Source organism: Homo sapiens, chromosome 1 (genome assembly GCF_000001405.40).
Source record: "Homo sapiens chromosome 1, GRCh38.p14 Primary Assembly".
NCBI lineage: Eukaryota > Metazoa > Chordata > Mammalia > Primates > Hominidae > Homo > Homo sapiens.
Window position 1 is genome coordinate 54,497,389 of NC_000001.11, and position 16,335 is coordinate 54,513,723.

Here is a 16,335-nt window from a genome sequence, read left to right on the forward strand (position 1 = left end):
ATAATATCTCTCATCTCACATGGCTCCTCTTTCAATGTGACTTTGACACCACCATCAAATCAAGAGGCTGGGGCTATATCTCCTCCCTTTGAAACTGGGTGGAACTTTAAGATTGCCTTGACCAACAGAGTGTGGCAGAAGTGGTACTATTTTTATGACTGCGGCTAGGTCATAAAAACGCTCTGTACTTCTGCTTTGTTCTTTTGGGAAATTCACTGTGGAGGAAGCCAGCTAGCTGCCAGGGAAGCACTTTGACCGCCCTGGAACCGCCATGCTGTGAGGAAGCCCAAAGGAGTTTAGAGAGATCACATGGAGAAGCCCAGAAGCTAACCGAAGAGACAGTACCCAGCCATCTCCAGCTGCCCTGGCCTCTGCTGTGCCGCCTCCAGTCACTGTCTGACTGCAGTGCATGGGAGACCCCAAGCTAGGGCTGCCCAGCCATGCCCTTTCCCAATTCCTAATCCACAGAAATTATGAGGGATTCAAAAATGACTGGTTATTTTAAGCCACAAAATTTCGGGATATTTGTTACACAGCAGTAGATAATCCAAATATGTTTATATTTATTCTGTTATCAGCCTTTCCTGGTAGACTCCGGTTACTGTTTTCCACTCTATTTCTAGCACTTAGTTTGAAACATACTAGGTGCTCCACAAATATGTGTTGTATAAATGAATGAAAGTGAACAGACTATATCATATGGTGTTAGGGGGAACCAAGGGGGCTCTGGGAGCCAGAGGGGGCTCCCAACTTGCTGGAAAGATCCAGGGAGGCTTCCTGGAGAAAGTGGTGCTGCTCCAAGTCCTGGGTAGGAGAAGCACACAGGAATATCTGTTCCTGTTCTCTAGGTGCTGCTTGTTTGTTTATGGCCCACATGACACTTCCCAGCGTGGTGTGTGTCCAACAGGCTGGTCCCCATGTCCCCATGTCCATTGGGGGCTCTCCCTCCCTATTCCTTCTCCTGCTCTCTTTTCTCCCTTCCTCTCTGGGCCTGCAGCTCACTCCTCCTGCCTCCTCTGACTCTGGGTCTGGCTAGAGAAAATTAAGTCAATGGGGAGGGAGGAGTTGACAAATAGATGTCCAGTAATTGAATTTTTTTTTTCTCTCTCGCCCTCTCTCCACCCCCCAGGGAGCAGGAAGAATTAGCTCTCTAGACAGTGGTTTTCCCTGCTTAAGGAGCTCTGGTGGTTGCACCCCCTCCCCCACCTAGACCAGCAGGAAGGAGAGTAGAACGGCAGGCAAGAGCCTCCTTAGGCTCCTCCAGGGCTAAGCCTTGTACAGAGGAGGAAACTGAGGCCTAGGGAGGAGCGAGACTTGCATCAGGCACTCAGGAGGTTAGAATTTGTTTGGGACTAGAAGGGAAAGGCCACCTAGGCCAGCTCTTGCACTGCCCCAGGAAGTCAGGGAGCAGGGACTGGGAAGCGTTCAGTGTCCTGCAGAGACACAAGGTCTGGCCAGTGACAGAGAACCTGGGGCTCCTGAGTCCTGTGCAGAAGGCAGCCCTTTTGCCACAGCAGTTGGTTGGGGTTTCCTTGGCTAGGAGTCAGTGGAGTTGGTAGGGGCCAGCCTGTTGCTCTGCACATCCAGCTGCCCTGCAGGACCTGGCTGTGAACAGGTCTTTTTTTCTCACAGAACACCCTCTAGGGGCACAGGTGGGGGCAGCCAGCTTGGTACTGACCATGGGCAGAGGGTACCAGGACTGAAAAATAATTGGCCACAGGCTCCAAGACTCATCATTGTGAAAAATGGAGATGGCACTTTGGATCTTACCGGGCTGCAATGAGTCAGGGAGGGCACCGGCACTTAGTTGGCCCTCAGTCAACAGTGTGTGTTATTGGTTCATCGTGGAGATGAAGGTACCGAGGCTCCGAGGAGACCCCGGTTCTAGGTCGCAATCTAGCAAGTGGCAATGCCAGGATTCAAACCCCTGGCGTCCTGGGGCTCCCAAGGCTTCTCTCCATACGGGCAACTCGGCTCGGATCGAGGAGGTGGGGGACGAAGGCGGCGGCGGGATGGGGGTGCAAAGCGTGGCTCCGCAGGGCAAGAGGGAGGCAGGCGTTCTGGACCTGCACCCCCAACCCCGCCCCCGCCCCTGCCATAGGCCCAGTGCGGGTGGGCGCCGCGGCCCCGCCTCGCCGAGCGGCGGCGGCTGCCGGGCTCCGGGAGCGCTTGATTTATTAAGCTAATGTTCTAGCACATTTTCTCCATCCCGTAATGAGCTGTTTCCACCAGGGGGTGTCTGCAGAGCGACTGCGGCTTCCGGCTGCTCCAGGAGGGAGCAGGGTCGGCGGGCGGGCGTCTGCGGGAGGCTGGGGGCGCCTGGTCGCCCGGGGAGGGTTGGGGTTGCAAGGTCTGGGTAGAAAAATCACCCCTGGTGGGGAGCTTGTGAGGGGAGGCGGGAGGCCTGTCCCTCCGCGCTACAGCCTAGGAGCGAACCCCACACTTACCCCTGTGCCATCCTGCCAGCTTCCTACCAACCTCAGGGGGCCTGAGAGGGACCCCGCCGGCATCCTGGCCTGGTCCTTTCCGCCCCCTCCTCCCCTGCTCCCCGATCCCTCAGCTTGTGAGGATGCCGAGCTCAGCCTGCCTGCCGCCTGCTTGTTATCTCCCCAGAGCTGGCATTTCTGTGGCTTCAGGCGTCAGTTAGGTCCTTTGCAGCCAGACAGATCTAGGTTCCAATCCGAGCCCAGCCACCTGTGAGCTCCGGGAAATCTCTGGGCCTCAGTTTCCCATTTGGTGGGGTTGTTGTGGGGATCTGTGATAATGTATGTGGTGTTCTGCACAGTGATAACCCTGTTCATGTTGGTTGGGGTGGACCTGCTGGGTGCATAACTCCGCCCTGGCTCGGGGAGCGGGGGCGGGGGAGCGGTGTGCACAGCAGGGACACCTGGGCACCATAATATCCCGACACAGGCAGCCTGCGCCTACAGCCCTTACCTGTTGACAAGCCCCACTTCAGAGGCTTTGCTTTTTTCACGCCGGGCAGGGACAGTACGTGGTATTTGGGCTTTAAAAGACTAACTTCATTTTTCCTCAACAAATTCACATCCCCCAGAGCCTGGACTTGCTGGTGGATTGGGGGACCTGCTCGGTAGTAGAACTATTGCGCTTGGTGCTCGTTCTTTTTTTTTTTTTTTTTTTTTTTTTTTGAGACGGAGTTTAGTTTTTTTTGCCCAGGCTAGAATGCAGTGGCGTGATTCTCGGCTCACTGCAACCTCTGCCTCCTGGGTTCAAGCGATTCTCCTTCCTCAGCCTCCTGAGTAGCTGGGATTACAAGTGCACACCACCATGCCCGGTAATTTTTTGTATTTTTAGTAGAGACGGGGTTTCATCATGTTGGCCAGGCTAGTCTTGAACTCCTGACCTCAGGTGACCACCCGACTTGGCCTCCCAAAGTGCTGGGATTACAGGCACCGAGCCACCACGCCTGGCCAGTGCTCTTTCTTGTGTTTTTAGTAATTTTTTTTTTTTTTTTTGGAAACGAGTCTGGCTCTGTTGCCCAGGCTGGAGTGCAGTGGTACAATCTCGGCTCACTGCGGCCTCCGCCTCCCGGGTTCAAGCAATTCTCCTGTCTCAGTATCCCAAGCAGCTGGGACTACAGGCGCATGCCACCATGCCCGGCTAATTTTTATATTTTTAGTAGAGACAGGTTTCACCATATTGGTCAGACTGGTCTTGAACTCCTGACCTCAGGTGATCCACCTGCCTTGGCCTCCCAAAGTGCTGGGATTACAGGTGAGAGCCACTGTGCCCGGCCTGTGTTTTCTAGTCTTTATTGCTGCGTTTTCTTTAGCACGTGGCTGACACCTAGAAGGTGCTCAGCAAGGGGTAGCTGTCACTGCTTTTCTCAATGGAGAAGATACCGACCGTCCCACTGACCCCATCCCCCAGGAAGGACAGTAGGTTGACTATGGGCCTCTTGGGATTCATACCCCATTACACAGTGCCAAGGTCCACTCACCCTACCCAGGAACTGTCACTCTATGGTATAGGGCAGGGTGGTTGAGTGCCTTGCCCAAGCACCCACGATATAAGCGGCAGAGCAAGACTGAAACACTGTCTGCTCAACTGACTCCCAAACCAGTGCTCCCCCGACTCCTCACTGGAGGCCACTGAGGGAGACTCCTGGCCTTCAGCAGGCCCTCAGGACAAAAGTGACTTCTCTCAGCTTCTTCCTTGCAGAGGGCTAACCAGTCTTGGCCCCTGGATGAATATGGACTTTTGTGGAATCTTTTCAGGAAGGGCTAAGATTGGAGTCAGATGGGCTTGCAGGGACCTGCCCGGGACCCCACTGTGTACCCATGTCTGTTCTTCGGTTTTTGTTCCTCACTGAACTTCCCTGACTCCTTTCCCACAAGAGAACTGAGCCACCCAAAAGCATTAATGAGCAAGTGGGATGAACTGAAGATTAAAGCAAAGATGGACAAGGCCATTTCTGTTCATGCCCTACAGCAAAGAACCTAAAAAGAGCCACCTTTGTTTTTTTGTTCTCCCATTCCTCTGCTCAGCTGCCTGTCCTGGGGTGGCTCCCCCGACTTCACACACCACTCCCTGCCTTGCTGGGCCCTTTCTCTCCTGCCTCCCTCACCAGCCTTTGGTCCCTCCTTGTGGCTTCCCTCTGCATGGCTGGTGCCTTTAGGCATTTAGTCCTCTCTTAGCCACCTCCTCCGGGAGGCCTTCCCTGACCGCCTGATCCAGAAAAGCCTCCAGCCAGCCTCCATCACATTACCAGCATCTGCTGTCTTTGTGGCATCGTCTGAAGATTCCTTATTTATTGCCTGTTTCCCTCTAGGATTGAAACTCTGCTGCCTGGTACCCAGAACGTGCCCTGAAACATAGTAGGGGGAATATTCTGCTTTCGATCTCTTTTTTCTCAACTTCACCTGTGCCTCAGCTCCTGGCTTCAGACTTGCATGCCTCAGTTTCCCCCAGCACTCCAGTTAACAGGGATTTTATGTCAACAGCGTCGTTTTCTGACGTTGCTAACACTTGGGTGTTTGCTAGTTAACAGGCACTAAGTACTTCCCTTATATTAACTCAAGTGAATCCTTACCACAGCCCCGTGAGGTGGGTACAATTATCATCATCCCCACTTTACAGATGAGGAAACCAACACCAGAAATAACCAGCCCAGTCTCCAAGCACAGTCAATAAGTGGCAGGGGTGTGGTTGAAACTGAGATGGTTGGTTTTCAGGAGTCCCCACTCCAGACTATTGTTAGAAGCAGCATGGTGCTCCCGTCTGCCTCTCAGAAGGCAGCCTCCCCACTTTGTGGAATGTGGACAAGACCTTGGAACTTGTTCCCCCACATCCCCACCACACTCCAAATGGCTTTTCAAAGTATTTCTTCCAGATACATACGGTGTTTCTTCCAAACTAGACATGTCTGGGAGAACAAAATTTCCTCCATTTTGTTACACATTTAACAGAAATCAGCTTAACTGGCCAGGCATGGTGGCTCACCCCTCTAGTCCCAGAGACTACAGGTGACTGAGGCTTGCTTGAGCCCAGGAATTCCAGGCTGCAGGGAGCTATGATTGTGCCATTGCACTCCAGCCTGCGTGAGAGCAAAACCTTGTCTAAGAAAGAAAAGGAAAGAAAAGAAAGGAAGGAAGAAAGTGTCAGAGGCGTGTGAACCAGAGCAACTCTGTCTTAAACAGGAGCTGGGTAAAATGAGGCTGAGACCTACTGGGCTGCATTCCCAGACGGTTAAGGCACTGTAAGTCACAGGATGAAACAGGAGGTCGGCACAAAATACAGGTCATAAAGACCTTGCTGATAAAACAGGTTGCAGTAAAGGAGCCAGCCAAAATTCAGCAAAACCAAAATGGCCACGAGACTGACCTCTGGTCATCTTCACCGCTACATTCCCACCAGCGCCATGACAGTTTACAGATGCAATGGCAACGTCAGGAAGTTACCCTATATGGTCTGAAAAGGGGAGGCATGAATAATCCACCCCTTTTTAGCATATCATCAAGAAATAACCATAAAAATGGGCAACTAGCAGCCCTCTGGGCTGCTCTGTCTGTCTATGGAGTAGTCTTTTTTTTTTTTTTGAGACAGAATTTTACTCTTGTTGCCCAGGCTGGAGTGCAATAGCGTGATCTTGGCTCACTACAACCTCCGCCTACTGGGTTCAAGTGATTTCTCCTGCCTCAGCTTCACAAGTAGCTGGGATTACAGGCATGCACCACCACACACGGCTAATTTTGTATTTTTAGTAGAGACAGGGTTTCTCCCTGTTGGTCAGGCTGGTCTTGAACTCTCAACCTCAGGTGATCTGCCAGCTTCGGTCTCCCAAAGTGCTGGCATTACAGGCATGAGCCACCGCACCCGGCTGCCATTCTTTTATTCCTTTACTTTCTTAATAAACTTGCTTTCACTTTGCACTGAGGACTTGCCCCGAATAATTTCTTGCACGAGATCCAAGAACCCTCTATTGGGGTCTGGATGGGGGCTCCTTTCCTGTAACAAAAGGAAGGAAGGAAGGAGGGAGGGAGAAGGAAGGGAGAAGGGAGGAAGGAAGAAAGGAAGAAAGAAAGAAAAAAAGAAAGAAAGGCTAGGTGCTGTGGCTCATGCCTGTAATCCCAGCACTTTGGGAGGCCCAGGTGGGCTGATCACTTGAGGCCAGGAGTTTGAGGCCAGTCTGACCAACATGACAAAACCCTATCGAGGCAGGAGAATCACTTGAACCAGGGAGGCGAAGGTTGCAGTGAGCTGAGATCACACCACTGCACTCCAGCCTGGGTGACAGAGCTAGACTCTGTTTAAAAAAAAAAAAGAGGCTGGGTTTGGTGGCTCACACCTGTAATCCCAGCACTTTGGGAGGCCGAGGCAGGTGGATCACGAGGTCAAGAGACCGAGAACATTCTGGCTAACATGGCGAAAGCCCGTCTCTACTAAAAATACAAAAATTAGCTGGGCACGGTAGCGCACGCCTGTAGTCCCAGCTACTCGGGAGGCTGAGACAGGAGAATCGCTCAAACCCGGGAGGCAGAGGTTGCAGTGAGCCGAGATTGCGCCACTGCACTCCAGCCTGGCTACAGAGCAAAACTCCACCTAAAACAAAAACAAAAACAAAAAACCAGAAAGCCAAGCTGGGCACGGTGGCTCACACCTGTAATTCCAGCACTTTGGAAGGCTGAGGTGGGCGGATTACGAGGTGAAGAGTTCGAGACCAGCCTGGCCAACATGGTGAAACCCCCGTCTCTACTAAGAATACAAAAATTAGCCGAGCATGGTGGCGGGTGCCTGTAATCCCAGCTACTTGGGAGGGTGAGGCAGGAGAATTGCTTGAACCCGGGAGGTGGAGGTTGCAGTGAGCCAAGATCACGCCACTGCACCCCAGCCTGGGCGACAGAGCAAGACTCTTTTCTTGGGGAAAAAAAAAAAAAAACAGAAAGAAAGCTGGGCACGGTGGCTCATGCCTGTAATTCCAGCACTTTGGGAGGCTGAGGCGGGTGGATCACCTGAGGCCAGGAGTTTGAGACCAGCCTGGTCAACATGGTGGAACCTCATCTCTACTAAAAATACAAAAAAATTAGCTGAGCGTGGTGGCAGGCACCTGTAGTCCCAGCTACTCTGGGAGGCTGAGGCAGGAGAATGGCTTGAACCCGGGAGACGGAGGGTGCAGTGAGCTGAAATCACGCCACTGCACTCCAGTCTGGGTGACAAGAGAGAAACTCCGTCTAAAAAAAAAAAAAAATTGCCAGCCATGGTGGCACACGCCTGTAGTCCTGGCTATTTAGGAAGCTGAGGCAGGAGAATTGCTTGAACCCAGGAGGCAGAGGTTGCAGTGAGCCGAGATCGCGCCACTGCACTCCAGCCTGGGTGACAGAGCAGGACTCCGTCTTGGGGGGAAATAAAAATAGAAAGAAAGAAAGCCGGGCACAGTGGCTCACACCTGTAATCCCAGCACTTTGGGAGGCCGAGGCGGGTGGATCACCTGAGGTCAGGAGTTCGAGACCAGCCTGGTCAACATGGCTAAACCTCATCTCTACTAAAAATACAAAAAATTAGCTGAGCGTGGTGGCAGGCATCTGTAGTCCCAGCTACTTTGGGAGGCCGAGGCAGGAGAATCGCTTGAACCCAGGAGGCGGAGGGTGCAGTGAGCTAAGATCACACCACTGGACTCCAGCCTGGGTGATGGGAGAAACTCCGTCTAAAAAAAAAAAAAAATTGCCAGCCGTGGTGGCACATGCCTGTAGTCTCAGCTACTCAGGAGTCTGAGGCAGGATAATCAGTTGAACCTGCGAGGTGGAGATTGCAGTGAGCCAAGATTGCGCCACTGCACTCCAGCCTGGGTGACAGAGTGAGACTCTGTGAAAGAAAGAGAAAGAAAGAGAGAGAGAGAGAGAAAGAAAGAGGGAGAAAGAAAGAAAGAAAGAAAGAAACAAACAAACAAACAATGTTTAAAGGAGACAAGAGCCTCCCGGATCCAGGGGAACCAGGTCTGGAGAAGGCATAGGGTAGGCTGGCAGAGCCACCTGAATGTGTTTTGTCTCTCGGTGCCCCTCTTTCTTTTCTTTCTTTCTTTATTTTGAGACGGAGTCTCGCTCTGTCGCCCAGACTAGAGTGCAGTGGCGTGATCTCGGCTCACTGCAACCTCCGCGTCCGGGTTCAAGCGATTTTCCTGCCTCAGCCTCCCGAGCAGCTGGGACTACAGGTGCCTGCCACCATGCCCAGCTAATTTTTGTATTTTTAGTAGAGATGGGGTTTCACCATATTGGCCAGGCTGGTCTCGAACTCCTGACCTCATGATCTGGCTGCTTCAGCCTCCCAAAACGCTGGGATTACAGGCATGAGCCGCTGAGGCCAGCTGGTGCCCCTCTTTCTTTCCCTTCTTCATGCTCGGCCCTTTTATTTGCCTCTCTGCAGCCCAGTTTCCTCTGTATTTTCTGGGCTCCGAGGGGACCATAATCTCCCCTACAGCATTTACACACATTCCACATCTTGGAAGCTTTATTCCCAGGGTAAGAGAGATAGTCTGATTGGCAGAGTGTGGACCAGGGTCCATCTGAATCCTCTGTGATGGGGGAGGGTGTGTGGGGTACACAGGAGAGGGGTGGTGGTGAGCTGATCAGGCAGCTCTGCAAGTACCCACCATGGACATGAAGAGCCTGGGCACCAAACTAAGGAATTTCTGAGGTGAGGAGAGTTTTAAGCCAAGGAGTAGCAGAATTCAGCTTGCAGTTTTGCTAGTTCGCAGTTTTGATGGCTCAGTTAGGGTGAAGGAGGGCTGGAGGGGCCAGTGGGGACACAGCAAGAAAGCTGCTCCTCCTGTGTAACATGGTGTTTGGGGGCACAGAGTTCCCCTGAGGAGGAAGCAGTGGCCACCCTGCCTCCACTCTGGGACATTTTTGCTTCCCCCACCCGGGCCTGCTCTGACTCATTCATCCACTCATTCTGAGCACTTGCTGCACACTAGGCCCTGGGCTGGGGCTTCAGCCCAGGAGTTCACTGCCGTGGGGGAGACAGGACAGGGTTGGTGTGAGAGAAAGGAGGGTCAGAGGAAGCGCCACAGGAGACCCAAGGGGGCCAAAGTCAGTCGGGGGTGGGACCGAGGGTCTGGGCCATATTCCACAGAGTTTTGATGCAGGCCTGGAAGAACAGGTAGAAGTTGAAAGCATGGAACTGGGGTGAAGGGCTTTCCAGGTGGAGGAATGGCACAGGCCAAGGAACGGAGCTGGGAACATTTGAGGCACGGCTGGGGACGCAGGCAGTTCTATTGCGGGGTGTGTGGAGCGGAGCGATGGAGACAAGACTGGAGGAAGGTAGGGACCTTCCTCTGTGGATGCTCCTCATGGAACATTATTTCATTTTTGAGAGATGGGGTCTCACTACATTGCCCAGGCTAGAATGCAGTGGCTATTCATAGGCACAATCATAGTGCAGTATAGTCTTGAAGTTCAGAATTCTCCCACCTCAGTCTCCTGAGTAGCTGGGACTACAGGTGTGCACTACCACGTCTGGCCTATGCTGTGGCAGTGGGGAGCCACTGACTGTGAGCAGAAAGTGATGTGGTCGGTGTTTCCCTTCAGGACGCTGATGGCATGGGTTCTATACATTAAACCAGGGGGAGAACACTCAGGCCTTCAGAGTGCCAGGGTCTTGGGGAGATGCTCACAGAAATGCCCATTGCTGTGTCCCAGGGCATTTGGCAGCACGGCTGGGTGGTTGACGAGGCCAGGAGTAGTATGTGCAGGCACAGGGTGGGCGTGGCAGCTGTCACATGGCAGAGGACCCGCAGAAGCTGCTGATGGCTGGAAGGTAATTAACAATTGTAATCACTCCTGTCATGACATAATTAAACTCCAATCGCGCTGGCTGGGTGGCTGATAGATGGGCCTGGGAGTCACAGCTGGGGGCGGGGGACAGTCAACATCATTTGTCAGCAGGCAGACCAGCAGTGGGGACCAGGTCTCTCTTTATGGGGGCGCTGGTGGGCCCTGAGGTGCACCCTCTACAGGTCTAGACTCCATAGTGTCTGATAGTAAGTCTGGGCTGGATGATTTCGAGAAATCATGTAGTAGGGGTGTCCTGGGTGGGGGTGCTGAGGGAGGGCAGAGGTCGTGGGGCTCCAGGCATGCCCCCTTGCTTCAGACCTCTTAGAATTCTTTTTTCTTTTTTTTTGAGACAGGATCTTACTCTGTTGCCCAGACTGGAGTACAGTGGTGTGATCTTGGCTTACCGTAACCTCTGCCTCCCAGACTCAAGCGATTCTCCCGCTTCAGCCTCTCAAGTAGCTGGGATTACAGGTGCACACCACTACCACCTGGCTAATTTTTTTTTGTGTGTGTGTGTGTGTGTGTGACAGAGTCTCACTCTTGTCACCTAGGCTGGGGTGCAAAGGCACGATCTCGGCTCACTACAACTTCTGCCTCCCAGGTTCAAACGATTCTCCTGCTTCAGCCTCCCAAGTAGCTGGGATTACAGGCACCCAGTGCTACACTCACCTAATTTTTTAGTTGAGACAGGGTTTCACCATATTGGTCAGGCTGGTCTTGAACTCCTGACCTCAGGTGATCTGCCCGCCTTGGCCTCCCAAAGTGCTGGGATTACAGGTGTGAGCCACTGCACCTGGCACTTTTTTTTTTTTTTTTGAGACAGAGTTTCACTCTTGTTGCCCAGGCTGGAGTGCAATGGCGCGATCTCGGCTCACCGCAACCTCCACCTCCCAGGTTCAAGCAATTCTCCTGCCTCAGCCTCCCAAGTAGCTGGGATTACAGGCATGCACCACCATGCCCGGCTAATTTTGTATTTTTAGTAGAGACGGGGTTTCTCCATGTTGAGGCTGGTCTCGAACTCCTGACCTCAGGTGATCCTCCCACCTCAGCCTCCCAAAGTGCTGGGATTACAGGCGTGAGCCACCGCGCCAGGCCTTTTTTTTTTTTTTTGGTATTTTTAGTAGAGACAAGGTTTCACCATGTCGGCCAGGCTGGTCTTGAACTCCTGATCTCAAATGATCTACCCGCCTTGGCCTCCCAAAGGGCTGGGATTACAGGGGTGAGCCACCACGCCTGGCTCACACCTCTTTTTTCTTTTTTTTTTTTTTTTTTGTTGTTGGGGGGTGCAGAGTCTTGCTCTGTCGCCCAGGCTGGAGCGCAGTGGCGTGATCTCAGCTCACTGCAACATCTGCCTTCCAGGTTCAAGCGATTCTTATGCCTCATCCTCCTGAGTAGCTGGGCCTACAGGTGCGTACCACCATGCCTGGCTAATTTTTGTATTTTTGGTAGAGATGGGGTTTCACCTTGTTGGCCAGGCTGGTCTCAAACTCCTGACCTCAAGTGATCCACCCTCACTGTAATCCCAAAGTGCTGGGATTACAGACGTGAGCCACCACACCCAGCCTCCTCTTTTATGTTTCTAAATGGAAATGTCATCCTTGTTGATTATACATAATTATTAAGAAAGAACTCCAGACACTATGAAGGAAGCATAAGTCCTCTATGATCCCATTCCCTAGCCATAACCATCGTTGAAAGTTTTGTTAATGTCCCAGTTCCAAGGGTTCTCAGAATTACCATCCAGATTCATGCCAAGATCCCTGCTGTTCTGTAGGCTATCTCAGTAACCTCGCAAGAAATCTCCCTGTTTCGTTAAAAATAGTTGATGCTTTTCCTTCCAGGTGTGGTCAAACTCAAGAAATAGGAGATTTTCCCCTCCACCTGCAATCTACCCACTTCTACCCTACCCACCTGAGGCTGGTTGCATAGGTCGTAGCCTGCCATTTTCATTCGAGATAAGCTCAGGAACAAGCTGTAATGTCCCAGCTTCTGCTGGTTCTTGGTGTTGCCAAAAGTGGAGGCTGGACAAGAAGGCTCTGTTTCTCGAGGTTCCTGGCTTGATTTCTTGGGTGGTGGGGAGGAAGGAGAAAGATCTAAACTGCATAAAGAAGCAGCAGGAAGGCCGAGTGCAGTGGCTCACGCCTGTAATCCCAGCCCTTTGGGAGGCCAAGGTGGGCAGATCATGAGGTCAGGAGCTCGAGATCATCCTGGCCAACAGGGTGAAACCTCGTCTCTACTAAAAATACAAAAATTAGCTGGGCATGGTGGCTTGTGCCTGTAGTCCCAGCTACTTGGGAGGCTGAGACAGGAGAATTGCTTGAACCTGGGAGGCGGAGGTTGCAATGAGCCGAGATCGCACCACTGCACTCCAGCCTGGCAACAGAGCGAGACTCTGTCTCAAAATAAAAAAGCAGCAGGAACTGGGGAGCTCTACCCAGCTGGGCAGAGGGTAGAAAGGAAAAAGGCACAGGTATGTAGGTGTGTGTTGCAGAGGTGTCTCCTCCTGCCTCTGTTTCCCCTTCTCGGCCCATAGTTGAAGGTATGTTGGAATGAACATTCTCGGCTTCTCTCTCCACTCCTCTTGTTTATTCCACATTTCATTGATAAAACCACAGGGAGGCAGGTGAGCTTGGGGTAGAATCACTGCTTTAAAATGTGGTGTATTTGGGGCCAGGCGCGGTGACTATGACTGCAAACCCAGCACTTTGGGAGGGTAAGGCGGGCGAATCACTGGAGGTCAGGAGTTTGAGACCAGCCAGGCAACATGGGGAAACCCTGTCTACAAAAAATACAAAAATTAGCTGGGCATGGTGGCGTGCACCTGTAATCCCAGCTACTGAGGTGGGAGGATCACTGGAGCCTGGGAGGTCAAGGCTGCAGGGAGCCGAGATTGTACCACTGCACTCCAGCCTGGGTGAGAGTGAGACCTTTCCTCAAAAAAACCAAACCAAACCAAACCAAACCAAACCAAACCAAACCAAACCAAACCCGAAAAACAAACTAAAAAACCCCACAAAAACAAACAAAACAAAATGCAGTGTATTTGGAGAGAACGGGTGTCTGGTTATTTTGTGCTTTGTATCAAGTTAGCCCAAAACTTAGTGGCATAAAACAATCAAGCATTGTGCTCGCAGATTATGTGGAACTGCTAGCTGGGCAGTTCTTACTTGGGAGTCTCTCTCTTTGACTTAGAGGCCTTCAGGTGAAGTGCAGGCAGCCTCTGGGGGGCAGATTCTGTCCTTTTTTGACTGTTCTTGGGGTTAGAGGACTTGTCCTGCAGTCTGTGTCAATAGCTGGGGATAGGTAGAAGGCCCCCCATTGACTAACCTAGCCTGATTAGTAATACAGCCGATTCTTCCCTGCAACCTTCCCAGGGCTCCAGAGGCCCATGGGCAGCAGGTAGGTGATGGGGCTTCCCTATGGACAACATGGGTGGGGAGGGATGGGTTAGGAGAGTCCTGTGAGCTTGTGAGAGGAACATGGCCTGAGAGAGGGACACTGTGAGGGGATGGCTGATTAATGTTCCTGACAGTGACATCTGACAAGGGCTTTGGAGACCCTGCTGTGGACCTGTGTGCTTCTACTGCCCTGAATTCTCAGAATACATGACTACACACAGCAATCCTGAGGACTCAAATTACACTTCCTGTGGTAGCCAGCCTCCAGGATGGCCCCAGTAACCCACACATCATTGTGTAGTTCTGTCCAACACTGAATCAGGGCTGGCTCTGTGGGACCAATAGCATAAGATGAAAGTGAAGATGTGACTCCCAAGACTGGGTCATAAAAGGCATTGTGGCTTCTTCTTTGGATCCTTGGCTCTCTTGCTCTGGGGGAAACCAGCCGCCATGCTGTGAGAACACTCAAGCGACCCTGTGGAGAAGCCCACAGGGAGAGGAGCTGAGGCCCTTGGCCAGCAGCTGGCACCTGCCTGCCAGCCATGTGAATGGGTCACTTTAGAAGTGCATCTTTGGGTCTGGTCAAGCCTTTAGATAACTGCAGACCTGGCTGATATCTGCCTGCAGCCGCATGAGAGGTCCCAAATGAGAACTGCCCAGCTTCCTGAAGTTCTGACCCACAAAATTTGTAAGCATAATAAACAGTTGTGTTATATCACTAAAATTTGGTATTTATTTGTTGCACAGCATGTGATAACTGCATACTCCCTTAGTTCAAGCTGCTATAACAAAATACCTTAGAGTAGGGTAATATATAAACAATAGAAATTTATTGCTCAAAGTTCTGGAGGCTGGGAAGTCCAAGATCAAGGGACCAGCTGATTTAGCATCTGGTGAAGGCTCTCAGCAATTTTTTTTTTTTTTGAGAAGGAGTCTTGCTCTGTTGCCAGGCTGGAGTGCAGTGGTGTGATTTCGGCTCACTGCAACCTCTGCCTCCCGGGTTCAAGCGAGTCTCCTGCCTCAGCCTCCCGAATAGCTGGGATGACAGGCGCACGCCACCACGCCCAGCTAATTTTTGTATTTTTAGTAGAGACGGGGTTTCACCATGTTGGCCAGGATGGTCTTGATCTCCTGACTTTGTGATCCGCCTGCCTTGGACTCCCAAAGTGCTGGGATTACAGGCATAAGCCACTGTGCCCGGCCCAGCTCTCTGCTTTAAAGACGGTGCCTTCCTGCTATATCCTTACTTGGTTGAAGGGGCAAGCTAACTGTCTGGGGCCTCTTTTATAAGGGCACTAATCCCATTTATGAGGGTAGAACCCTCATGACCTAATCACCTCCTAAATGCTCCACCTCTTAATGTTATCACACAATATTAAGGATTACGTTTTAACATATGAATTTTGGGAGAGGACAAACATTCAAACCATAGCACCCCTATTTCCAAATACCCTAGAGGAAGATGACCCTTGAGAGGGAGAGGGTGGGGAAGCAGATGAAAGGGATAGAAAGATAGAGTTCCCATATCCCCTATGAAGCTGGGGGAGAAACCCAGTACTCAATCAGCCTGGACCCCTTTGGCACGGTCCTCTCCAATGTTGGGTTCATGTAAGACGGTTCTGTAAAGTTTCCTAGGGTGAGAGAGGGTGAAGAATTCCTGCAGCATAATTAGGCCAAAGTTACATTATCAGAGAAAATATGTAGACACAGTGAGGGTTTTCAACAGGAAACTAGCTTCTGAGGTGTGGGATGTGTCTGATTTCTTAGATGCAAGCAGAGAGAGCAAACGGCAACTCATACTCCATGGCCTCCTCCATCACCACCCACAGGACCCAAAGCTTCTGCCTCCCCTCAGTAGACAACCTGGCAGAGAAGAAAATGCCTTTGACTTAGAACATGCCAGGGACTGTGAAGTCACAAGACTCAACAGGCGATCTGGGACATTTGGGACTTAATGGGAGCAAAGGAGAGGAAGGGAAGAGTCCTGGAGTGCAGGAGTGGGGAGGAGTAAAAACAAAAGAGACAGGGAAGAAAGGCATTTGAAAAAAGGGTTCTACTAGAAACATACTTGAAAATCAGCTACCTAGATGAATCCCTTCAGGCTTCCCCTACCCTGATTTAGTAGAAGGGGGGGGGGGGGGGTGCCTTAAGTTGTGTTTTCCCATACACAGATCCCACTACAAGGATTAGAATGAAAGCTTGTTTGGGAGAGAGATGGGCAAATGAGATGAAGGGAAGACAGTGATGAAGGCTGTGTGATCAGGCTCGTCACCACGTTGGGGCTCTGGGTAAAACAGACCCCACCTTGTAATCCTACTCAAGAGGCAAAGAAGCTGGTGTATGTATCCTCCAACTGCCACTGGTCATTGCTGAGAGCTGATTCTGGACCCTTCTGGCCTGCCCTGCAGCATACCTGGGGCAGAGAGAAAGTCCCCGGGGAGATTTGAGTTGCAGGCTTTCAGCTTGTCCTGGAGTGAGGACAAGCTGGGGTCCTGATGCTTTGTACAGCAAGCTGGCTCATATCCGAGTGCTCAGCCTTGGAGGCCTTTCTCACGCAGTCGGTAGGCCCATATCCTTGGCTGCAGAAAGCAAAGCCTGACGAAGGTGGTGTGTCCAAGATTGGATGCCTGGTGAGTACTGCTGGATGC

At 51.7% G+C, this 16,335-nt stretch overlaps 3 annotated features.

Moving 5' to 3' along the window:
• Positions 2,210 to 2,761: an enhancer, noted in NCBI's record as "H3K4me1 hESC enhancer chr1:54965271-54965822 (GRCh37/hg19 assembly coordinates)". NCBI's record gives its function as "activates a minimal SCP1, AML or CMV promoter by ChIP-STARR-seq in primed H9 embryonic stem cells {active_cell/tissue: H9 hESC(primed)}" and the evidence as "EXISTENCE:reporter gene assay evidence [ECO:0000049][PMID:30033119]".
• Positions 2,762 to 3,313: an enhancer, noted in NCBI's record as "H3K4me1 hESC enhancer chr1:54965823-54966374 (GRCh37/hg19 assembly coordinates)". NCBI's record gives its function as "activates a minimal SCP1, AML or CMV promoter by ChIP-STARR-seq in primed H9 embryonic stem cells {active_cell/tissue: H9 hESC(primed)}" and the evidence as "EXISTENCE:reporter gene assay evidence [ECO:0000049][PMID:30033119]".
• Positions 10,198 to 10,370: a silencer, noted in NCBI's record as "fragment chr1:54973259-54973431 (GRCh37/hg19 assembly coordinates)". NCBI's record gives its function as "represses an EF-1alpha promoter that drives an FKBP-Casp9 reporter gene in an ReSE screen in K562 erythroleukemia cells {active_cell/tissue: K562}" and the evidence as "EXISTENCE:reporter gene assay evidence [ECO:0000049][PMID:32094911]".